At 57.5% G+C, this 22,333-nt stretch overlaps 1 protein-coding gene and 2 long non-coding RNA genes across 4 annotated transcripts, besides 13 other annotated features; 2 read left to right on the forward strand and 1 right to left on the reverse strand.

The window, feature by feature from the left end:
- Positions 2,118-2,237: a silencer, noted in NCBI's record as "silent region_18856". NCBI's record gives its function as "represses an Ori minimal core promoter by ATAC-STARR-seq in GM12878 lymphoblastoid cells {active_cell/tissue: GM12878}" and the evidence as "EXISTENCE:reporter gene assay evidence [ECO:0000049][PMID:35858748]".
- Positions 2,665-2,835: a silencer, noted in NCBI's record as "fragment chr7:156793008-156793178 (GRCh37/hg19 assembly coordinates)". NCBI's record gives its function as "represses an EF-1alpha promoter that drives an FKBP-Casp9 reporter gene in an ReSE screen in K562 erythroleukemia cells {active_cell/tissue: K562}" and the evidence as "EXISTENCE:reporter gene assay evidence [ECO:0000049][PMID:32094911]".
- Positions 5,209-5,915: an enhancer, noted in NCBI's record as "H3K27ac-H3K4me1 hESC enhancer chr7:156795552-156796258 (GRCh37/hg19 assembly coordinates)". NCBI's record gives its function as "activates a minimal SCP1, AML or CMV promoter by ChIP-STARR-seq in naive H9 embryonic stem cells {active_cell/tissue: H9 hESC(naive)}" and the evidence as "EXISTENCE:reporter gene assay evidence [ECO:0000049][PMID:30033119]".
- Positions 7,205-13,014, reverse strand: MNX1 (motor neuron and pancreas homeobox 1). Of its 2 annotated transcripts, none has more exons than NM_005515.4 (3): positions 12,011-13,014; positions 8,830-8,990; positions 7,205-8,224 (listed from the first exon to the last, which is right to left on the reverse strand). In NM_005515.4, exons 1-3 carry the CDS (start codon positions 12,699-12,701, stop codon positions 7,871-7,873), a joined length of 1,206 nt encoding a protein of 401 aa, NP_005506.3. In that variant the 5' UTR covers positions 12,702-13,014; the 3' UTR covers positions 7,205-7,870. The 2 variants fall into 2 exon arrangements, with proteins under 2 accessions (NP_005506.3, NP_001158727.1); NM_001165255.2 differs by lacking the exon at positions 12,011-13,014 and adding an exon at positions 11,349-11,786.
- Positions 7,632-8,284: an enhancer, noted in NCBI's record as "H3K27ac-H3K4me1 hESC enhancer chr7:156797975-156798627 (GRCh37/hg19 assembly coordinates)". NCBI's record gives its function as "activates a minimal SCP1, AML or CMV promoter by ChIP-STARR-seq in naive H9 embryonic stem cells {active_cell/tissue: H9 hESC(naive)}" and the evidence as "EXISTENCE:reporter gene assay evidence [ECO:0000049][PMID:30033119]".
- Positions 8,053-8,247: a silencer, noted in NCBI's record as "fragment chr7:156798396-156798590 (GRCh37/hg19 assembly coordinates)". NCBI's record gives its function as "represses an EF-1alpha promoter that drives an FKBP-Casp9 reporter gene in an ReSE screen in K562 erythroleukemia cells {active_cell/tissue: K562}" and the evidence as "EXISTENCE:reporter gene assay evidence [ECO:0000049][PMID:32094911]".
- On the forward strand, positions 8,658-9,471 carry MNX1-AS2 (MNX1 antisense RNA 2). Its single transcript, NR_147077.1, has 2 exons — positions 8,658-8,775; positions 9,228-9,471. It is a non-coding gene; the product is annotated as an MNX1 antisense RNA 2 (long non-coding RNA).
- Positions 12,176-12,225: a silencer, noted in NCBI's record as "silent region_18857". NCBI's record gives its function as "represses an Ori minimal core promoter by ATAC-STARR-seq in GM12878 lymphoblastoid cells {active_cell/tissue: GM12878}" and the evidence as "EXISTENCE:reporter gene assay evidence [ECO:0000049][PMID:35858748]".
- Positions 12,236-12,305: a silencer, noted in NCBI's record as "silent region_18858". NCBI's record gives its function as "represses an Ori minimal core promoter by ATAC-STARR-seq in GM12878 lymphoblastoid cells {active_cell/tissue: GM12878}" and the evidence as "EXISTENCE:reporter gene assay evidence [ECO:0000049][PMID:35858748]".
- Positions 12,816-13,425: a silencer, noted in NCBI's record as "silent region_18859". NCBI's record gives its function as "represses an Ori minimal core promoter by ATAC-STARR-seq in GM12878 lymphoblastoid cells {active_cell/tissue: GM12878}" and the evidence as "EXISTENCE:reporter gene assay evidence [ECO:0000049][PMID:35858748]".
- On the forward strand, positions 13,208-18,775 carry MNX1-AS1 (MNX1 antisense RNA 1 (head to head)). The gene is made up of 2 exons (NR_038835.1): positions 13,208-13,658; positions 18,240-18,775. It is a non-coding gene; the product is annotated as an MNX1 antisense RNA 1 (head to head) (long non-coding RNA).
- Positions 19,100-19,209: an enhancer, noted in NCBI's record as "active region_26918". NCBI's record gives its function as "activates an Ori minimal core promoter by ATAC-STARR-seq in GM12878 lymphoblastoid cells {active_cell/tissue: GM12878}" and the evidence as "EXISTENCE:reporter gene assay evidence [ECO:0000049][PMID:35858748]".
- Positions 19,260-19,349: an enhancer, noted in NCBI's record as "active region_26919". NCBI's record gives its function as "activates an Ori minimal core promoter by ATAC-STARR-seq in GM12878 lymphoblastoid cells {active_cell/tissue: GM12878}" and the evidence as "EXISTENCE:reporter gene assay evidence [ECO:0000049][PMID:35858748]".
- Positions 19,360-19,439: an enhancer, noted in NCBI's record as "active region_26920". NCBI's record gives its function as "activates an Ori minimal core promoter by ATAC-STARR-seq in GM12878 lymphoblastoid cells {active_cell/tissue: GM12878}" and the evidence as "EXISTENCE:reporter gene assay evidence [ECO:0000049][PMID:35858748]".
- Positions 19,470-19,519: an enhancer, noted in NCBI's record as "active region_26921". NCBI's record gives its function as "activates an Ori minimal core promoter by ATAC-STARR-seq in GM12878 lymphoblastoid cells {active_cell/tissue: GM12878}" and the evidence as "EXISTENCE:reporter gene assay evidence [ECO:0000049][PMID:35858748]".
- Positions 19,750-19,909: an enhancer, noted in NCBI's record as "active region_26922". NCBI's record gives its function as "activates an Ori minimal core promoter by ATAC-STARR-seq in GM12878 lymphoblastoid cells {active_cell/tissue: GM12878}" and the evidence as "EXISTENCE:reporter gene assay evidence [ECO:0000049][PMID:35858748]".

Below are 22,333 nucleotides of genomic sequence, written 5' to 3' on the forward strand. Positions count from 1 at the left end.
CCTCCCAGAAGGCCCTTGGAGTTAGGGCCTGGCCCTGGATTAGGCTGTGGTTTAGGGAATATTGTGGCTGGTTTAATCTTCTATTTAGAGAATATTGTGGCTGGTTTAATCTACTATTTAGAGCACTAAACCTCTCTCCACATCAGCAGTCAGGCTGTTTCTGTCTTATTATTTGCATCTTTACTGGGGTAGCACTTTTAATTTCCTTCAACAACTTTTCCTTTGCATTCACAACTTGGCTAACCGACACAAGAGGCCTAGCTTTCAGCCTGTCTCAGTTTTCAACATGCCTTCCTCACTAAGCTTAATCATTTCTAGGTTTTGATTGAAAGTAAGAGATGTGTTACTCTTCCTTTCACTTGAACTTAGGGGACATTGCAGTGTTATTACATGGCGTAATTTCAATATTGTTGTGTCTCAGGGAACGAGGAGGCCCCAGGAAAGGGAGAGAGATGGAGGATAGCCAGTTAGTAGGGCAATCAGGACACACACATATTTATCAATTACGTTCACCATCTTATATGGGCAAGGTTTGTGGGACCTCAAAACAATTAAAATAGTGACATCAAAGGTCACTGATCATAGATCACATAACAGATATAATAATAATGAAACAATTTGATACTTGCAAGAATTCTTGGTAATTGCAAGAATTACCAAATGTGACACAGACATGAAATGAGCACATGCTGTTGGAAAACAGCGCCGACAAATTTACTTTATGCAGGATTGCCACAAGCCATCAATTTGTAAAAAAATGAAATCTCTGTGAAGTGCAAGAAAGCAAAAAGCACAATCAAACGAGGTCAGCCTGTGCTTAATCCGATGACATGTGTGTGTCTAAAGACCTGGAATAAGTTAATCACGAGAATAAACGGACCAGGTAGTAAAAGGTAATACATACATATTGCAGACTGAAGAAAAGACACAATTTGTATTGCATGTCCTCGCTCATTTGTGGGATCTAAGAGTCAAGACCATGGAACTCATGGAGATAGAGGATAGAAGGCTGGTTACCAGCAGCTGGGAAGGGGAGTGGTGGTGGGCGGCGGGGACATCACTGGGTAGGTAGGGAGGGTTAATGGGTACAAAAAAATAGAAAGAACGAATAAGACCTAGTATTTGATAGCACAGCAGGGTGACTATAGTCAATAATAATTTAACTGTACATTGAAAAATAACTAAGAGTCTGATTGGATTGTTTGTAACATAGAGTAAATGCCGGAGGGCATGAGTGCACCATTCTCCATGAAGTGATTACTGCGAGTTGCTTCTCATATCATCTCATGTACCCCAGACATATATACACCTACTATGTACCCATACAAATTAATATTTAAAGAAAAGATAATAACAAGACGTAGTAAAGCTGTTAGGACCCCTCCCCCCCACCTTGCATTTCTTTTACAGAGTTATCTACTATTACAGAAACACTGCAAGCTTCCTATTACAGGCATGGCCCCCCTGCTCTGAAGAGCCAGAACCCTCAGCCTCCTGGGTGCGGCCCTGCCTAAAGCAGGGACGTTGACAGACGCAGTTCGCAGGAGCCAGCTAAGCCTGAGGCTTAATGGGCCAGAGCCGGAGCCTCCTCTCAGGTGCCTGTCCTGTCCGAGCTTTCTAGAAAAGACGCTGGGCGCTGTCATGCTCCTCACAATGTCCCCTGCCCAGGAACTGATCCTTACGCTTTTTTTTTTCCTTCCTTTCCTTCCTTTCCTTCTTTCCTTGGCAGAAAGGCTGCTAAGCGGGAAGGTGAACTGCAATGTTAACAAAAGGCAAATACAAAACTACAGGCTTTGTCATAAAAGCAGGCTGTTTCTTCCACCTTCTCTGAGTAATAAAATACCTACAATAATACATATCAATTTTTTTTTTTTTAAAAAAACGGGTGCACTTCTAGCCTGAAGCACAAGCAGCAGTTCCAGTCTCCAAGAGTCCCTGTTCTTTCGCTTCCAGGGCCCACTTCAGCAGTTTCTTCCGGACCCGGACACCCTCAGGGCGGCGATCGGGGGTGAAACGCCTCGGGCCGAGCCCCTGGGTCACTGCGTCCTGAGCCCACCCAGCAAACCCCGAGCCCAGGCCTGAGCGGCGCCCCCGACCCCGTCCCGGGCTGGAGAGGCCCCGCCCGCGGCCCCCGGCCTGACCCCGGCCCGCCCCGGCCCGCGGGCGATAAGGCCGCGCCTTTGTTCCTGCCCCCAGCTGGGTAAACCGCGCCCCGCCTCGCTCGCCGTCTCGGGGGCACCTTTGTCCGGCCCGGGGCGCGCATTGTCCGCACGGTGTGTACTCGGGGAGGGGCGCCAGGTGCGCGGGCGGAATGTAGGGTCGGCGCGGGGCCGGGGGGCGGGCCCGGGGCCGGGGGGTCCTCAGGAAGCCTCGGCCGGGCCCGCCTCCTCCCCGAGGGTCCCCTGCAGCCGCGGATGGGGGAGCCCGGGGGCGGAGCGGGGCGCGGGGGGCGGAGCGGGGGAGGCGCGAACCCGGGGACCCCCGCGCTGGACAAACCCGCGGCCGCCGCCCGTTCCTGTCGTGTCCAGCTTGAGACACACCTGGCGCGTCGTAAAGTGATTTACGAAGTGAAAGTGTGAAACCAGGGCCACCAGCTGGAGGCCCGGCCGGCTTTAGGAGTTTTATTAGGTGCCCTATTATGGAAAATAAACTTTAATCCCACCATAAAAACCAAATCTGAAAAACATACTTGCCCTTGTGGTCGGGAGCGCCGCGGCATCCCTGGTGGAGGTCACACCTCCGACGGGATTAGTTTTAAGGAGGGAGACAGCGCTCCGCAAGACTTTGATACCGGGGGGCTGGGGGGCGCCCCCTTCGCCGCCGCGCCCCACGCGGGTCCCAGCGCCCCTCCGCGCCGCACTCCCCTCCCCCGGACGGTTCCGCCCGGCAGCCCCCTCCAAGCCTGGGGCGCACTCAGCGCTGCCCTCCGCTGGCGGGGGCGGGGGCGGGGTGGGGGAGGGAAGGGGGAGGCCGCGGGTCAGTTGACCCGGAAACCTGAGAGGTGCTGAGGAACAGGCCCGGGCGCCCCTCCGGAGCAGCTCAGCAAGGAGGGGCTGGGGTCGGAGGCGAGGAGAGGGAGAGCAGAGGGAAGAGGAAAAGGAAGGAAGAAAAAACAACAAAATTATTTTTACAATCATTGTGACCATTCACGTGTTAGTACCGGAGGGTTAACTATGTGCATTATGCAACAGACGCTAGAACTTTCTCATCTTCCCAAACTGAAACTCTGTCCCCAAGAAACACCGACTCCCCAGTACCCCACTCCGAACCACTAGCAACCCCCATTCTACTCTCTTAGAGTTTGACTCATCTAAACTGATATTTCACACGATCTTGCGGCATTTGTCTTTTTGTTCATTTGCTTGCTTATTTATTACTATTTTTTTTTAGAGATGAGGTCTCACACTGGCCCAGGCTGGAGTGCAATGGTGCCATCATAGCTCACTGCATCCTGGAGCCCCTGGGCTCAAGCCATCCTTCCGCCTGGGCTCCGCAGTAGCTGGGACGGCAGGAGGGCACCCCCACGCAGGGCCACTGTTTGTCTTTTGTAATTGGGTATTTCACTCAGCATAAAGTCCTCAGAGTTCATGGGTGTTGTAGCATGTGACAGGATTTTCTTCTTTTTAAAGCCTGAATGGCGCTCCACCGTATGTGTGTACCACATTTTCCTCATCCATTTCTCTGTTGATGGACACGTAGGCTGCGTCCACCTCTTGGCAATTGTGAAGAGTGCTGCAATGAACTCGGGTGTGCAAATGTCTCTTTGAGATCTTTTTGTTTTTTCCAATTCTTTTGGATATATACCCAGAACTGAGACTGCTGGATCGTATGGTAATTTGACTTTTTTTTTTTTTTTTTTTTTTTTTTTGAGCCCTGTCGCCCAGGCTGGAGTGCAATGGCACGTTCTCGGCTCACTGCAACCTTCGCCTCCAGGGTTCAAGCACTTCTCTGCCCCAGCTCCCAAGTAGCTGCTACTACAGGCGCCCGCCATCACGCCCGGCTAATTTTTTGTATTTTTAGTAGAGACGGGGTTTCACCACCTTGGCCAGGCTGGTCTTGAACTCCTGACCTCGTGATCCACCCGCCTTGGCCTCCCAAAGCTCTGGGATTACAGGCGTAAGCCACTGCGCCCAGCCTGATTTTTAATTTTTTGAGGGAAATTCTGTACTATTTTACATAATGGCTATGCCATGTTACATTCTGACCACAGCTGCAATTTCTCCACATTCTCACCAACACTTGCTATTTTCTGTGCTTTTTGTTTGTTTTATATTGGCCATCTTAGCAGGTGTGAGGTGGATCTGTGGCTCTGATTTGCATTTCCCTGATGCTTATTGGTGTTGAGCATCTTTTCATATGTGTGTTGCCGTTTCAAAATTTTATTTGGAGTCATATCTATTCAAGTCATTTGCCCATTTAATTTGGTTTTGTTGTAGAGTGCTGAGAGTTACATAATCTGAACATTAACCCATTCCCTGATTCGCGTGTTGCAGATGATATCTCCCATCCCCAGGTTGCCTTTCACTCTTGTTGATCGTCCTTTGTGGCGCGTACGTTTTTCAGTTTGATGCAGTCCCATTTGTCTATTTTTGCTTTGGTTGCCTTGTGTTCAGTATCAAAGAAGGAAAGTCACCGGATGAGGGAAGGGACAGGTCCACCTCCTCTCCCTTCGAGCTGTTTCTTTACTCCCTGACACCAGGGATTAACCGGGGTCTCCTGGCTGCCTCTCACCTGGCAGCCGGAGCTCCAGGAGGGGCTGGAAAGGAGCCCCCTGGGCCTCCGTCTGGGGGGCGTGTGTGAACTGTTTTCTCCCGTCACAAAAAAGGCTTCCTCCACATGCGTTTGCACGCCCGGCAGAATTCGCCCACAGCAAGGCCCCCCTTTCTAAGAAGGGAGGAGAACCCACATTGGAGCAAAGAAAACGGTGGCCAAGAGGTGGGGGCCTCGGTAGGGCAAGGAGGCAAGGCTGGGTTCCAGGGGACAGGGTCAGCTTTGGGTGGGGCCCAGAGCCCCGGGTCGCAGTGACGGCCGCCGCAGGGGTCTCCCCCCGCGTACCTTCGCTTCTGTTGAAGGCAGTGAGATCCGCAGGCCTCCGGGACAGCTAGAGGACAGCAGACATGTCCCGTGGGGGAAGCCTGGGCCTGTCTGAAAACACCGCCTCAGCTCCCTCCGGGGTCCCCCTGCGTAGACCTGGCTTCAGGTCCGGAGAACCGGATTCTTGAGGGCTGCAAAGACTTTCTCCCCCATGCGCGGGGTCAGCTGGCGGCTCAGGTGCGATTGGAGGCCTGGGCCCCGAGGGACCACCGCCCCAGGCCGAGCCGAGTCAGCGACCCCGAGCGCGGCGCCCAGGGGTGGGGGTCGCGCCCGCAAGGCGGGCAGAGCCGGGCCTCGAGACCGTTCATTAGGCAGAATGAATTGTTCACCGTGCCCGGAGTGGATGAGGACGAGCCAGTGATTATATTTAAATTTGCTATAATTGATTTGGGGAAGAGCTACTGTGACAAGAACGAATTGATCATTAAATTTATTAGCGAGATAAATTCCGCGGCGACTGAGCGGCCTGCTGGAGGCGCAGGGGCCGGCGCAGGTCCGGGGCCTGGCTCTGCTGGAGGACGGGGGAGGGGCGGCCCTATTAACAGCGTCTTCCTTTGATGTCGCTCTTCCCCGCGTCCCAGAGGAAGCGCCTGTCCCCTGGGGGTAGAGGGACAGACCCTCCGCGGAGGCCTGGGGCACCCCAGCTCCAGGCCGAGCCCCCACTCTTCCCTGGCTGCCCAGTGTTGGTGAGGGCGCTGAGGCTGGGCCGGCTGAGCCCAAGGGGAAAATAATCCCCAGATGTGGGGCCAGCCAGGGGAGAGATTGCTGCAGGCTGAACCTCACCAATGTGTTAGAAATTAAAAAGAAATGTAGGGATTGCAGATTAAAAAAAAAAAAAAAAAAAAAAAAAAAAGCATCTGTCTTCCCCCCTTCCCTCTGGTTTTCCCACCCTCTTCCTCTGGGCACTCTGCCTCCTCCACCAGTGGCAAACCCTCTCCCAGTTCCCCTAAACACCTTTGGACCCCAGGCGGCGGAGGCCCGGCCCCTGCGCCAGCGCCCAGCAGCTGCTTCTGCCCGGACTCCCAGCAGCCGCGCCCCGGCCTTGGATGAGGTTGATTTTATGGAAGGGGCCCGGGGTGATAATGAGTTGCCAGAGAGGATATTAATCTCCCCGCGCCCTGAGGCAGAGGAGTGGCTGCGCTCGCCCCGCGGTAATCACCCAAATGAAACGCCAGGCCCTTCTGAACTCATTTTATCCGCTGGGAGGAGGGGAGGGGAGGAGGGAGGAGAAGGGCACACGCAGGTGCTGCTGAGAAAGTGACAAACAGAAGGAAGGAGGAAGGCCCGGGAGAAGGGATAGGAGCGGCGTCCCCGTCGCCCGTCTCCTCCGGGGCCAGGAGAGGCCACTGGGTCATCGATGGGGGAAGGGGGCCGGGAGTCGCGCCGGGCTGGGTGGGCCGCGGGCCTGCGCTCCTGGGCGGACGAGAGCGCGGGCTGAGCCCGCATGTGTGCAGCACATGGCGCTGGGCCTGGCTGCGGTGATTGATGGCGCGCGCTGCAGAGGCTGATTAACCCGGAGCCGCTGCAGCCGCGGTGTGGAGCGCTGCTGCAGTCCGCCGCTGTCCTCGCGGACTTGTTTGCACAGAGCCAAGAAGACCGATCCTGGCCAGCCAAGGAAGGTTCTGCTAACAGAGAGGGCCGGGGTCGAGGAGAGAGAGAAGCACCGCGCAATTCGGTGCGTTCCGGGAAATGTGCCTCAGTAGCGCCTGAGGTCACAGGGACCCCACATGCTACTAACGCCTAGTCGTTTTAAGCTTATTTTCTGAAACGTCCAAATAGCGTATTTCCACTTCTGGAGTGCCAACGAAGCAACAGCTAGCAAGGAAATAGGAAAATAAATAGAGTCCACAGCTCCGCTTCCGAGGGACACGTGTCCCGGGACAGGTGTGCACCAGGCAGCCGGGCATGCGCTGACACCTGGCCACAGGTATTTTTGCCAACACTTCACATTGCGACTCCCCAGTAGCAGGCGCGGAGGTGGTCCTGACACCCACTTGAGACTCCGATTTTCACCCTCAGCTGCCAACCGCCGAGTAGACACCCTCCCCATCATTTCTACAAGCAAATTGTAATGCCGCGGGCATAATCCCCCAAAACTCGTGCACGCTGATCCAGTACAAAACCAATTTATTTTACATTCCATCGTGGGCGATGGGAGAAGCTAAATAATAATTTAGCATGCATACGTAGACGTTTCTTTTTATATATAAATACAATATACAAAAATAAAGACAGTACAGTTTTGAGATTTCCAGCAGTTTGAACGCTCGTGACATAATCCCCCCGACCCCAGAGACGTAAGCATAAACCCTTTTTTCTTTTTCCAAATACTCTGCAGAATGGCGGCTCCAGAGGCGGTTTCAAGTTTCATAAGTCAGGTAACACTGTGGGTTTCCGCCTTCTCGGACGCGGGGAAAGGGGAGACAGGAGGCTTCCCCTTGCGCGGGGTGGGTCGGTTCTTCTCACACGCACTCGCGCCTCCCCCAACACCAACCAAAATTAATTTTAAAAGAACCAGAGTTCAAGTTTCAGCCCCCTGGGTCTCCCTCTCGCTGTTTCTTGAAGAGCAGGTGAGGCGCCCTTGCTTAAAAGGGAAGCGCCCAGGACCGGAGCCGCGGCCGAATCCCTCCAGCCCCGGCCTGGGCGAGGGGTCCATGGGGCGGCGGTCGAGCCTGCTCTCGGGGCCGGGCCGGGTGGGTGCGGGCGCCGGGGCCTCCGGGAGAAGCCGCCGGCCGGGGCGCTCCGTGCGCGCCGCACCTGCTGGGCCGCGGGGCTCCTACTGGGGCGCGGGCTGGTGGCTGGGCCGCGGGGGCGGCGAGTCGTCCTCCGAGGAGCAGTCGGAGGAGGCGGCGTGGACGCTGGCGCCGTTGCTGTAGGGGAAATGGTCCTCGTCGTCCTCGTCCTCGTCCTCCTCGGGGTCACTGTCCCTCAAGTCCCGCAGGCGGCGTCCGCTGCCCTTGTCTCCGGGCGCTGGCGGCCCCAGCAGCTCCTCGGCTCCCGGCTCCTCCGCGCCGCCCTTCCCCGCGCCCCCGCCGCCGCCCTTCTGTTTCTCCGCTTCCTGCGCCGCCTGCTCTTTGGCCTTTTTGCTGCGTTTCCATTTCATCCGCCGGTTCTGGAACCAAATCTTCACCTGCGGGCACAAGCGGGCGTGAGAAACCGGCCACCGCCACCCCAGGGCTTCCTGTCCCCGGAGTCCCCCGGCCGCGTGCGCCTGGGCCCCATTGGGTCGGCCCTGGAATGGCCTCAGGGTGAGACGACTTAGAAGCAGAATGGGGAGGGGGCTCGTAGCTTCCTCCTCCCCGCAACCCCCCACTCAGCAGCAAACCCCAGAGCTGGGCTGGAGCTCCGTGGGAGCTAGGACTATGTCCCCAACGACCCAGGCCGGGGACTTTTCTACCCGCGCCCTCCGTCTGCGGAGGAAGGGTCAGGGCAGCTGGCTACGTCGCGGTAAATCTCAGGATGTTCCCTCCTCTCTTTCTGGAACAAAATTTCTCGAATGCGGCCTGGGGATCACCTTCTTCAGAATGAAAGGAGGGGTGGTTAAGTGCTGATTCTTGGGCCCCACCCGAAGCTACTGAATCGGCGCTCTGGGCACCTTAGATGAACCCGTGCGCCCGCCGTCTGAACCGTCGAGGCGCAGCGCTAGATGCCTCAGACCGCCCGTGGGTCACAAGTGCAAAGGTAACAGTGTCCCCTGGGAGGCCGGGATGCGTCGGGGGCGGGGAGGGCGCGCACCTGGGTCTCGGTGAGCATGAGCGAGGTGGCCACCTCGAAGCGCTTGGGCCGCGACAGGTACTTGTTGAGCTTGAACTGGTGCTCCAGCTCCAGCAGCTGCTGGCTGGTGAAGGCGGTGCGCGGCCGGCGGCACTTCCCCAGGAGGTTCGACTGCGCCTGGGCTGGGGACCAAAGGGCAGTGAGGCCCACAGCCGGCTCCGGTCCTCGCCCCAGCCCCTCCCGTTGCTGCTTGTACCACTACACTCAAGGCCCCAGCGCCAAGGCCTGGCCCTGCAGAGGGCGGGGCTGTTCCCTCACTATCAGTGCCCACTCCCCAAGGAATGCGGACTCAGGACCACCAAGTGGAAATGGATAGTTTGGAGTTAATGAGACCAATTTTTTTTTTTTTTTTTGTCTAGGAGACGTCTGAGTGTCCCTGTTAAACAGGGCCCATCGCAGGAGGCTTCCTCTCCACAGGAGCCGGCTTTGGTAGCAGTGGATTGACCCAGAGGCAAGAGGAGAACTGAGGCCAGTCGGGGGCCAGGAAGGGAGGTTCCGGGAAGCCCAGGAGTTGAAGGCTGCAGTGAGCGAGACTGCACCCCTGCACTGTACCCTGGGTGACACAGCAAGACCCCATCTCTCAATAAATAAAAAATAATAAAATAATAAAATAAAGGAGCAGTGAGTGATGAGAACCAAATCTCTCCCCCTCTCCTCACTGCGCCTTCCTAGAGATTCAGGCTCAGATCCAAACAGGTCTGGGAAGAGCTGGTCCTGCTGTTCCAGGTCTCCCTGCACTGCCTCCTTAAGACAGAAAAGGAGGAGGAGGAGGAGAAAAAGAGGAAGGAAGGAAGGGAGAGAGGGAAAGAGGGAGGGAGGAAGGAAAGAAGGAAAGAAGGAAGGAAGGAAGGAAGGAAGGGAGGAAGGGAAGGGAGAGAGGACAGGTGGAACAGGACCAAACCCAGGGTCCAAGTCTGTGTATTCACCAGGGACCCTCCCACCTTCCAAATGTTTTCCTTGGCATGCCCCCTCCTCAGGGTGCGGGCGGCAGGGGCAAGGCCTGAGGAGACTAGAAGCCTTTTCAGGACAATTCTCATTACGCAAATTACAGGCAGAGGCGCAGGCAGGATCCGGTTCTCTGTGTGTTCAAGGAGGCCTGCCCGGCTTTATTTACATAATTTCGCACGGTTACATCACAGAGAATTTTATGACCTCAAAACGAGACTTCCCTTGATTTCCCAGGAGCCTGACAAGTGTTGGACAATAAAAGAAAGAAAGCAAAGGAAAGAAAGGAGGCCAGCCCCAGGCCTGGATGAGCTCAGGTCCCCCGGGATGGGCAGTTTGCTTTAGAGGATGGCCCACGCCCCCTGCTTTAGTCAAACAAGGCCCCGAATTCCCAACTTGACAATACATTAGAACTTTAATTAAACCACTGGCTCCGGAGGGACCATTTGGGAAATGCCATCCAACAGGCAGAGACAACCAATTAAAGAAACCAAACAGGTTTTCCCCGGACCAGCGAGGAGGACTTCTCAGAACACATTCCGCCGTCTTTGGCACGGTTATGCCTGCCCTTTTGGATTGCCAGGTGCAGATACCTCTTCTGAACTTAAGACTGGTTGTGTTTAAAATTTGGCCAACTCTAGGTCAACATTTGGAATCAGAAATAGGCAAGGTGTCTCACTTTAATAAATTTTCTGAGTGACCCTGGGCTCCACGAAGCTCCAGAAAGCACCCCTAGGAGGCCTAGGACCACGGGCCCCCGGGGCTGGCCAGCCCCCTCCGTGGGCAACTTAGCGTCCTTGGCTCTGGGAAATGCAGGTCATATTGGTGGCTTTCTATCAGAAGGGATGGGCCCTGGGTCGGCACCCTGGGTTTAAGCCCAGGCTGGCAGGGGATTCGCAGACGCAGACGTGTCTGAGGTGAGGGGCAGCTTTCCCTCTTCCAGCCAGTCAGTAGGGCTGACTCTCCCAGGTGAGGGATGGGTGACCACTGGGGCCTTCTTGGAGCTGAGCTAGGAAAGCCTGGGGCGGCTGTGGGCAAACAGCCTTCTGCAGGGATTCTTCTCACCCTCTTGTGACTTCTCCAGCCTCTGGGGTCCTAGATTTTCTCTGTTTAGTCACAACCACAGCTTCCAGCAAAGGAATCTGAATTCTGGAGTGTTTATTTCTGTTTTCTTTTTTGCTTTTCCCCTGCTCTGCCTGCATCTCCCCAGTCTAAACAAATCCACTCAGACAGAAACAATGGGGTCTCTTTGTTTGGGTGTTCGGCGGCTGAAAGCGTTGAGCCATATACATCTGCTCGGCCCGACTCATAAGTAGCTGACCCCGATGGGGCGAGCGGGGAGAGCCAGAGCCCCAGAGAGCCAGAGCCCCGGAGCCCCAGCCCGGAGAGTCCGCGTGTGCCAGGAAAGCCTGAGGGGCCCAGGCCTCTGGCGAGGTGTCCCGCCCGGATGGAGAGGAAGCTGCCCGAAGCCCAGCGGCTCTGGGGTGGGGAGAACAGGGGCTCCCTCGGCCCCACCTTGGAGGGGCATTCGTTACCTTGTTGGGCGCCCAGGATTCCAGGGCAGGCACCTACTGTTGAGAGTCCCCCCATAGCTGGTTCAAGCCAGGCCACCTGCCTCGGCCATCGCACCCCGGATCCAACGCCCTTCCAGAGGAGGGCAGCGCCCTGGTAAGAGCCGGGGGTTCCCTGGGCCTTGGCCTTGCCTCCCCGGGCCTCCGAAGCCCATTTCTCTTGTTTGCTGCTCCTGAAGCACTCCCTCTCCCTGGAGGGGCCGCGGGTCTCTCTAACGCCCCAGTGGGGGACCTGGCCCAAGTTCCTTTCCCCGGTGATAAGCCCTGACCCCCATTCCCGGGCCTGCCTAATTCAGGGCGCTCTCGGCTCGCCTTCCCCCGGCGACTTCCTTCTCCTGCAGCCTTCGGGTTAATCATTAGATCTCAGTCTCACACCTCCAACTGCCCCTTCCCGTTAAGAGAGGAAGAGAAGGCAAGGCCTGCGCATGGCCATTTTAATAATTCGCTGCCCGTCTCATGCCTGGGGGTCCGGGCGAGTCCTCGCAGGCCCCGGGCAGAGCCGAGGCGGCTTCGCAGCTCTTCCCCCGCTCGCTGGGAGCCAAGCGCAGAGAGGGGCAGGCGGTGCCGGTGGAGGATGCGCGAGGCCCTCCCGCCACGCGCATCCACGGGGGCCGCAGGGTACTCACAGTTGAAGTCGGGCATCTTAGGCAGGATCATGCCCGCGGTGGACGCGCGCAGCCACTGGTCCAGCTGGAAGGTGCCGGCGCCCAGCTTGATGGGGTCGGCGGGGTGCGCGGGGTGCGCGCCTTGCACCTGCGGGTACGAGTAGGAGAGCGCCGGGTGCTGGCCCGCCAGCGCAGCCGCCGCCGCCGCCGCGGAGTAGCCGTAGACCGGGTGGCCGTAGAGCGCCGCCTGCGCCGGGAGGCCCGCGCCGCCCTGCGCGCCCCCAGGGTGCAGCCCCAGCGCCAGGCCCCCAGCGGCGGCGGCGGCGGCGGCGGCGGCGGCAGCGGCCGCTGCGCCCGGATGCGCGTGGTGGTGGGGCCCCCCGTGCCCGCCGCCCGTGCCGCCGCCGCCGCCGCCCGCGCCCAGGAAGCCCGGCTTGGGCAGCAGCGCGCAGTGCGCGGCCAGCAGGCGCGGCGGCGACGGGCTCTCGGCGCGCAGGCGGTCGGCGGGCGCAGCCGGCGGCTCCGAGGACGCGGGGCTGCAGCTGCCGCTAGTCCCGCCGCTCGCCCCGCCGCCGCCGCCGCCACCTCCGGTGCCAGATGCGGCGGCGGCGAGCGACGTGACCAAGGCCAGCGGCGCGCTCTGCGCAGAGGCGGCTCGTGGGGGGTCCACCGCCAGCAGGGCGTCGATGCGGAAATTTTTGGATTTTTCCATCGGCTCGTTTGGGGCTGGCGCTCAGGGCCCGGTGGCGGGCGACGCGGCCGTGTGCGGGCTCGCGGAGTCAGTGCGTGCGGTGCAAGCCCGGGGGCTCGGTATTGTTATGGTGGTTATTTGCCAATAATCAAAGTCGCCGCCGGAAACTCAGCCGAGGGTGACCATGGTCCCGGCGCCTCCTCCGTGCGGGCCCCGCCCCGGGCCGCGCTCGCACAAACTCCCACGCGAGTGCTTCCCCGCGTCCGGGCCCGGGAGCCCGGTTCTTTGCGCTGCAGCCCTCAGGCGACCGCGCGGAGGCCGCTGCCGCCGTGGTGGGGACCCGCGCCCCTCCGCGCACTTGAAGCTCAGCGCGGCTTCCGATTGGCGCGCGCAGCGGGGGCCCGGGGAGGGCCGCGGGCTCCGCCATTGGCCGAGGGGCGCACCTGTCACCGTCCCGGCCGCCCGCCGCCCCGCCCCCGCGCCGCGAGGTCCTAAGCAGCCCGGGCTGTTGCGCGGCGCTGGCGGGCGGGGACACCAACGGGGAGTGGATACTCCGAGGCTCAACCTGGGGCCTCTGCCCGCCCTCCCCTGGGTGCGGAGCCGGACGGCGGGCACTGGCAACCCCCGGGCCCCTGGAGAGCCCCGCGGCGGCCCAAGACCCGCTCCCGAGACACGTGGGCCCCTCCGGACTTGGTTGGTCCCTGGAGCCAGCTGCGCGCGTCCTCTCCGGCCTCCTTGTCGGCGCTGGAGTGGGTCCACGTCTGCCTTGCGGAGCGCGGTGGTTCCACGCTCCTGAGCGCCCACGCTGCGCAGACCTGGCCGCTCTGCGAGGCGACGGCAGCGCACTGAAGACCGTGGTGTTTCCCAAGCCCTCCCTGCTCTCGGGCCTCCAGGGCGCAGCAGGGGAGGGTTTTGTCCCCGTGGCCAAAGCTCTGCAGGTCGAACCTTATCTGCTATGGGAAGGCCCCGCATTTTCAGGTGTGTGTGCGGGGGTGTGGGGGTGTAAACGCGCATGTGAGTGTGAGTTTGGCCTCCACGAATCCTCTCTGGGAGCCCCTGCCCCAGTCAAGGCGGAGACGGTAGATCTGGGCGCTCTGGCCTGCAGAACCCAAGTCGGCTTGCAGACGTCGCCCACGTGCCTGCTCAGTGGAGCGGGTCCTCGGTGACAAGGCTCTTCCTCGCTGCCGAGGGATGCCCATGGGCTTGCGGGAGTCAAGGCCCACACACCTCGGCCCTGAAAAACCCGTGGGGCCCGGCATCCTTCGGAAGCCCTGCCGCTGCGACCCCCGGCCAGTCCCCGGGCAGGAGCGGGGAAAGGCTATGTCTCTCGTGCTGCCGGGGCCTCCTGGGAAGTGGAGAGGAAAGGGCTTCCCGTGAGTGAGCGAGGCACGGAGTGAGCATCCAGGTCTCACCCCTCCCCCACACGCACACTTCAAATATTTACAGTAAAACCACTTCCAAGGGCGTTTTTGAAGCTGAAAGAATCCACACAGGGGTCGGGAAGTCAAGCGGCATCAACACCAGGCTTTGTCAATAGCGCCATTAGACCCAGTTATCTTCCCCAGCAAGCGTGAGAACTGGGAGGGAGTTCCAGGTTCCAGGGCTTGCTATGCAGGTGAGAGGTGAATAAAGGACCGGAAGGGGCTGTGGAGAGGGGAGAGAGCCAAAGAGAAACTCAGTGCCAGGTAAACTTCAAAATTAGCACGCCAGGTTGCTACAAGAGGGATTTTTAAAAAGGCAAATATAGAGACCTTGCCACTTCTCCTCAAAAGGCTTTTGACCTAGGCGAGAGTTGATGACAGTGACTCTGTTGCCATGAGTGGTATCGTTTTCATTATAACACAGGGTAGTTCCCAGATGCACAGGACTGGTTGGAAGGTTAGGAGGATGGCAATGGATGAGTAACTGCAACTTGGAGTAAATGTGATCTGGCTTTGCAGAGCCGACCACTGGTAAAAAGAAATCCCAGGCATTCACATGGAGTTTGTCGTGCCTTTAGATGTCTTTGTGGTGACACAAATGCAGTTCTACCTCTCACTGGAGAGAGGGAAACACGCGCATTTCTTGAACACCTACTATGTGCTATGAGCTTTCTGCAATTCTCATCCGTAATCTTCACTATGACACTAGAAGGAAGATTTTTATCATCTCCGTATCTCCATTTTCTTTTCTTTCTTTTTTTTTTTTGTATTTTTGGTAGAGACGGGGTTTCACCGTGTTAGCGAGGATGGTCTTGATCGCCTGACCTCCTGATCCGCGCGCCTCGGCCTCCCAAAGTGCTGGGATTACAGGAGTCAGCCACCGCGCCAGGCGCCCCCCACTTTTTTTTTTTTTTTTTGAGATGGAGTTTTGTTCTTGTTGCCCGGGCTGGAGTGCAATGCCATGATCATGGCTCACTGCAACCTCCATCTCCCAGGTTCAAGCGATTCTTCTGCCTCAGCCTCCCCAATAGCTGAGATTACAGGCATGTGCCACCAGGCCAGGCTAATTTTTGTGTTTTTAGTAGAGATGGGGTTTCACCATGTTGGTCAGGCTGGTCTCGAACTCCCGACCTCAGGTGATCCACCCACTTCAGCCTCCCAAAGTGCTGGGATTACAGGCATGAGCGACCGTGCCCGGGCTATCATCTCCATTTTCTAGAGTACAAGTTCAGAGAGTTTGGGATCCTTGTTCCCAGCAGACAGTTTGGCCTTAGAGCTGGGAGTGGGACCAGGTCTGATTGCAGAGGCCACACTGTTCCCACCCTGCTGCCCTCAAAGCTTTCAGGTACACCTAGCCCTGAGTCCCCATCCCATCTGTTTCTTTTTGGGGAGGGAAGGATTGTAAAGGAGACCAGAGATTCTTAGCCACCTGTCCCAGGCAGGAAGCCCTAGCTGTGACTCTGCCTCCCCAGGGTAGAGAACACAGCCTTGGCCTCCTCCTCCAGGGGTTTGGCACCAAGGCTGACTTGCCTTTCTCTTCTCATCACCCCCATCTGCTGGGGGCAGATTGCTTGGTCCTGAGGTCAATGATTTAGGGAGCTGGGGGAAGGGAGTGGCTGCAGAAGAAATCTCCCAGGATGGACCTTGGAGAAGATGCTGTTCCTCTCTCCAACCAAAAATACACACTGCCAGGGTGATTTTAGTTGGTGATGGGGTGTGTAGTCTAGACTCATGACATCAGCCATCTCCTTCAACAAAATCACAGTGGGTGTTTTCTGGCTTTTTTTTTTAACTCCTAGAGGAATTAATTTCACCCCTTTTTGTTCTGTAATAACCATGGTCCAAAACCCCTTCACACCCTGTCTCATGTTTCTATTCTGCCTGAGACCTGCTGAGGACACCTCCCTGAAAACACAGACAGGACAACACGTGTGCAGGTCCTTCAGGTGTCTGTACCACCTGTGGGGCTGTGCAAGGCTGTCCGAGGAGGCCTAGCCTAGCAGCCCTGCGTCCTGTCCGGACCGCCCCTCTGGCTGAGGTGCCATTTCAGGAATCTGAAGCTCCTTATCTCGATGGATTTGTTTCTTTGTCTACAGAAGCAGGGGTTGGACCAAATGGACTCTAAGGAGCTATAGGGCCTTAAAATGATCAGATGTTCTGCTTATATTTAAGAATATGTTAATATAAAAAGGAGGTTCTCTGTAAAGCTGCATGGAGAGAGGCAGGTGTGGGGGAGAGAGGGAGCTATCTGGGAAGTGTGGATCTTTGTGTGGTTTACAATGTGTGAGGCGGAGCCTGCTGGGTCTCTTCCTGTTCCCAGTATCTGTATTGATCCAGCCCAGCTGGCTTTGGGGCAGTCTGGAGCTGGGCTTGGGTCTTGGGAAGGGCCACAAAGAGAGATCAAAGGTCTGATCCTAGTAGTGCTACCAAACCTGAGTCTCCAGGTGAGTTTTCTCTCCAGCGGCCCCAGGGGCAGAACTCAGCCCTGGAGAGTTCTCCCTGGAGCTCTTGGTTTCTCAAGACAGGCAGAGAGGGCCTGGTGCACCCTAATCAGCTGGCCCCCACCACAGCTCCTCCCTGCCCAGCGCGGGAGCCTGCTTTCTACAGGCCTCCTGTTAAGGAACTGAAGAGTGCCTGCAGCTGCCCTTCCTTCCACTACTTGGGAAGGAGATGGTGATTTCTACAAACCATCACAAAAGAAAACGCCGTTGTAGTCTGTGTCTGTTTACATCTGGACTTACACACACAACTGGGAACCCGTGAGGACTGGGGAAAAAACCTGTACATTCACATATTCACAAGATGCGAGGCAGGTATCATGCATTTATTTATCATTTAGATATTGCTTTTTTTCCATGTGAAATGGAGCAGTTGCCTGGAAGGGCACTGGGTGGCTGAAGCAGGGGGCAGATCTTGCATTTCCAAAACTGAAGCCCAGGGCCAACAGAGAGGACTTGGCTGCAGAGGGGCCCAGGCACATTAGTCCTGTCCTGCTGAAGCCATGTGGTCTTCGGGGACTCATGCAGTTCCGTTTCAATGTAAACTGTCAAGGCTTTCTTCAGGAAACAGGCATGAAGATGCTGTGTAACTGGCCGGAGGGACCTAAGCACGAGTTTGAGATGGGACTTGCCCCTGGCACAGGAAGTAGCTTAGTTAGGCTGGAGTGGGAGCCCAGAGGGTCAGAGCAGGAACTGCTGGGAGATGCTCCGACCTCCTTCCTGGAGCTCAGAGGGAAGGAGAATCTGTGGAGAGGGCCTAGGCTCACCGGAGCTGGGGACATCTGCTCAGGTCCCCCCACCAACCCCAGCCCCTTCAGAGCAATGGGGGCCAAAGGCATCAAGTCATTCATGCTGTCCTTTGATCTGCTGACCTCCTCTATGGCCCCTGGGAGCTGGGCCTTAAAGGAGTCTGGAAAGGGTAGGCTCAGGATTAGCAACCCAAAGACCTGCAGCTCAAACCCTCAAACCGAGGCGGGGCCTGAGGTGGGCCCAGGTCTGCTGTGTGCTCCGCTCTATGGGTTTTCTCCCTCAGCCCCTCCTCCTCAGCCTCTCCCTGCAACCTGGATTTCCTGTTGCCATTTTAGAGGGCACCCTCACCCCGACTCCTCTCGCATGGCCAGCACCACCCAGGCTGCACTGGCAATGTGAGCCCCCCAGAACACCCCAAGTCACTGGCTTGACCCTCTCCTCTGAGCCCAGCCCTGGCTGCAAACAACCAGCCCCTACCAGGGGGGCTTGGCGAGAAGTTAGGGAGATGCCACAGGATTTAAATTAGTCAAATTCAGTGACCCAGGGGCCTTCTATTTTTGGAAATTTCCTCCAGAGACAAAAATCTCTGCTTCCTTCCAGACCTTGGGCAGCCTCCCAGCTTCCCTGGACCCTGAAGGGAAGGGACAGGCCTGGCCACCCTGGGCTCAGCTTCTGGCCCAGGTCTCCTTCTGACACAAGGTGAAATCCTTTCCAGCCTCTTCGAAGCTTCTTGTGTCATAAAGAGAAACAAACCTTGGGAGGGAAGAGAGGCTCCTTTGAGCCCCTTTCATTGTTTTGGGGGAATAACAACCCTCCACAGAAATGAAAGCCTTCTCTGGAGTCTTTTTCTCTTTGCTACAAACATTTTATTTTGTTTTATTTTATTCCAGATTCACGCAGGGCCCTCTGCAGACTGTTGGCAGAAAAAAGGTAGCCACCAAACACATGCATAAGCTGGACTTTTCCCAGAATGCTGCAGCAGAACTACCCTCCAGATAGACACTAGCCTGCGGGCCACAGTGCTACGTGAGTCTTGCAAAGAGGAGATCTTTATGGCGAGGCTGAGAGCACTGCCTGCATGCTTTACCAGAGCCCAGCCTCCAGCCTCCACGGAAAATGTGTTTTGGAATCAACACTCTTTGCAAAGGCTCCACACTGCTTTCTGGTAGCATTGGCCTGGGCGCCCAGGCACTCCTTTAGAACCCACCTGTTCCCCCCACCCACCCTAGTGGGAGGAGGAGAGGGTTACACTGACAGATACCGGCAGCTCTGCAACCCGGGAACAACGCAGACAACATACAACTCGACAGAGTCACAGAAGGTGGCGTCCATCGCGCCTGGATGGTGACTACTGCCCTGCGGGCTGCTGGGTGGGTGAAACACACAGGGAAGAAGCACAAATACACACACAGATGTGGCTCAGGGACATTTGAATGCTTCAGTGTGTGAATTTTTTAGCGCATTCTGACTCGAAATTATGGCTGAATAGTGGCGCACTAATGTCCAAGTCCATGTTCGATAATGGCAGGAAGTCTGCACTAATTGGTCTATTTAGTAGTTGCTGAGGTGGCAAAAGCTGCAGCTGCTGGTGGCTGAAAGAGAGAGAGAGAGAGAGAGACCTCCTCTTAGGCCACTTCCCAGAGCTGTGGCAGTGGGGGAGGGGGAATTCCCCAGGATGGTGTTTGTGGTCAAGTTCACCTCTGGCAACCCTGCCTAAGCTCTTCTCACAGGTGCACGCATTCAAGTCCTGAAGAGCCCTCCCCGCCCCCAACAGTGTTCATGTCCCGGGCTGGGGGCCCGCCTGGGAGGGGCTCTATATGCCGGTGGGACCTGGCTGCTTTGCCTCGCATTCTCCCCACTCTTCCCCTTCCCAGGGCAGCTTTTCTCCCCGCACCCCATCTCTCTCCCCTTTGCTTTCTAACTGGGTTGGGAAGCTAATCTGCCAAGAGCCCGCTGCTTAGCCGGTGCGGTGGCATGTGCCTGTGGTCCCAGCTACTTGGGAGGCTGGAACAGGAGAATCGCCTGAGCCCAGGGGTAGAGGTGAGGCTGCAGTGAGCTAGGATTGCACCATGGCGCTCCAGCCTGGGCCACAGAGCAAGACTGTCTGAAAAAAAGAACCTGCTGCCCACCTCACCATTTGAACTGGGAATATTTTACCAGAGAGAATGTGGACATGGAGAAGCCACCGTCACACACAGAGTAAGGGTGTGTGGGGTGGGGGCAGATTTAAGATGGACTCTGGACAGTTCCCGAGCCACTAGAGTGCCCATCCCTGCCAGGAGGCCCCAGATGCTCAGGGGTTTCAGCGGCCTTCTGCAGCCTCAGCCAGTGCTTACACCACACCTGGGAGCAGCATGGGCCGCCCTCTGCCTCACCGAGGGGCAAACCGGCTGAGGACCCAGGCACGAAGAGTGTCACCAGCTCTGACCACAAGCCCCGTAGACCAGGGCTGCGTCCATAATCGGGGTTGATGGCATTAGTTATTATATTATAACCTCCTTGTTGCGTGATTCTAGTAATTTATTTTCCCACTTGGCCTTTGACTGGGCTGGGCTCCTCCCAGTGGAACAACAGGGGGTGTCGTGTTTGCAGCAGAAACGCACACTGGGATCCTTTCTTGCAACAGCTGGGCCGGCTGGGTCTTTTCTCTTGTCTTCTGTACACAGGCCCCTCTCCGCTGTTTCTGCAGAGACCGAGGTGGGAGGGAGAAAGACCCTCCAGCCCTCTGCTCCCACCCTCCCCGCAGTCTCCGGGGCCCTGTGCTGCAGGCAAGATAATTTGGCTAATGAACTCGTTAAAGGGCCCCTGGTGACCCGCCCCGGCTTCCCCTCGGCCCATCTGGGAAATTCCATTGAAAGGCTGGAGAAGGTTCCTCAGCCCCGCCGCCTTCTGTCGCTGCTAGAGGCGCGAACCCGGTGACTCTGGGCCCCTTACATTAAAATAATTACCCGGCGGAACAGGTGGCCCACTCCCGGCGCCTGGGTGCATCTGGGCCCCCGGAGCCGCAGCCCGGGAGGAGGGGAGCGGCACGCCCAGGGGAGGGAAGGTCAGGCCCGCTGAGCCGGGAGCCGGGAGGGTAGAGAGGGGCTTTCCTAGGGACAGACGGTCCCGGGGCACCCAGGCCTCCGCGGCCGAGCGGGCTGAGGCCTAAGCAGGGAGGCCGTCGCCTTCAGGCACAGGTAAGCGCAGCCCGCGCACCGCTTGGGACGCACCTGGCCACCTGCGCTGCCACCCAAGCTTGGGGTATGCGGGTGCCCGAGCAGAACCCCGAACTCGCACCGGGCTCCGAGGTTGGAGCAACTCCTAACACTGGGCTCGGAGCTAGGGGCTTGCTGGAGGGGCGCTTGCCGCGCCGGCCCTCGGGGCTCACAGCCGGGCACGCCGGACTGCGGCGAGCGCGTGGGCGAGCGTGTCAGGAGCGTGCGCCCTGGGTGCGCGCGTGCGAGAGCGCACGTGTAGGGTGGCTTCCAGTCCTCCCTTCCCGCCTGAGAAGCGTCCACGCGGAGTTCCAGGCCGGGCGCTGGGGAAGGAGGTCCCGGGGACGCTGCTGAAAAGAGAGCGGCCAGCCCAGGCGCGGGGCCAAGCCTATTGCCAAAAACATATTACCCTGCGACATTCTGTAAATGAGATAATGATCCATAAACCCGGATGATAGATGTGGCGTGCCTGCGATGTCTTCTCTAAATGAGCTGCTCGCATCGACTGCTAATAATGGTGAGTTTATGGAAGCGATTTCAGCGCAAACTGCGAGAGGGTCTTCTTACTCTAATCAGCCTGCCTGAGCTAATGGACGAGGGGGTCAGGCTGAGAGTTATTGACACGCCCGTGCCCTTAACCTGTTTCCCAATAAAGCTGATTAGTTTTTGTCAATTCATCAGCTAACCACTCTTGCTGGAACTGCATCAAAGCCTTATTTGCTCAGGGGAAATCAACAAGTCACAGATCAGCTCCATTAAGGGGCCCGGCCCGGCAAGGACAGTCCTGGAGCCGAGGGACGCCCCGACGGACCTCGGGCCTCCCCCGAGGTTCGCAGAGGGGCTGACAGCGTGGCCCCCCTTAACTCCGAGCACCACGACCCGGATGCACATAACTGTGTCCGGAAACTTCTCTTTCTCTGCAGGTGGAGCAGCGCCTGTGCGGCTCCGCGCTATGGCTCCAAGGCTCCGGCCCTGGCGTCTGGGCTCGGTCGGGGACAGTTTCCACGCGAGGCGGAGCCTAGCTGGAGGTCACAGGGCGGTGGAGAGCGAGGGCATGAGGGAGGGAGCTGGGAACCGCGCAGTGTCCGCGGCCACGAATCTCTCCTACGCGTCCCCATGAGGCGACCTAAGGGGAAGAGTGCAGGACCCTAGGACCCCCCCACCCCGGGCAGCGCGGGCCTGAGCTTGGGGGACAGGCAGAAGGGGATCAAACCCGCACCCAGCGCAGACTCCTACTTGCTCAGTGACTTCGCAAGCTCGTGGGAGGGAGCTGGGCGCGCCCGAGGGCACCTGGGCTGAGGTTCCAGTAGCTGGCTCTACCTGCGCTTCAGGTGAGCGGCTGCAGGAAGGGCCCTCCCAGGTATCCCTCGGCTCCCGCTGGCAGGAGTGAGCCCATCGGCCGCCGCCGGCGGAGGTGACCCCAACGCCCTGGCTCAGGGGCGGGGAAGGAAAATGTGCGTTGTCCCTTTAAGCCCCCGGCCACTGCCACCTCCCGGCCCCATCCCCCTTCAATTTAATTTCATTAAAACAGAGCATGAATATTTCTATTAAACCTAAAATGAAATATGAAGCCATTTAGACTCTGCCTGCACCAATCACCCAGATTTATGACTTTTATTCATCACATCAAGAGCTTGGAAAAATGAATTTTCTTCACCCAGGAAGGAAATAAAACCTCAGGCTTGGTCATTTCCAGAAAGCTGTTAATTTGACCATGTGGTAATTACTTTCACAATTAACTAAAATACAAATCAACTTGACAAATTGGGCTAGTTTATATATTAATT

The sequence above is a fragment of the Homo sapiens genome, chromosome 7 (genome assembly GCF_000001405.40).
Source record: "Homo sapiens chromosome 7, GRCh38.p14 Primary Assembly".
Taxonomy (NCBI): domain Eukaryota; kingdom Metazoa; phylum Chordata; class Mammalia; order Primates; family Hominidae; genus Homo; species Homo sapiens.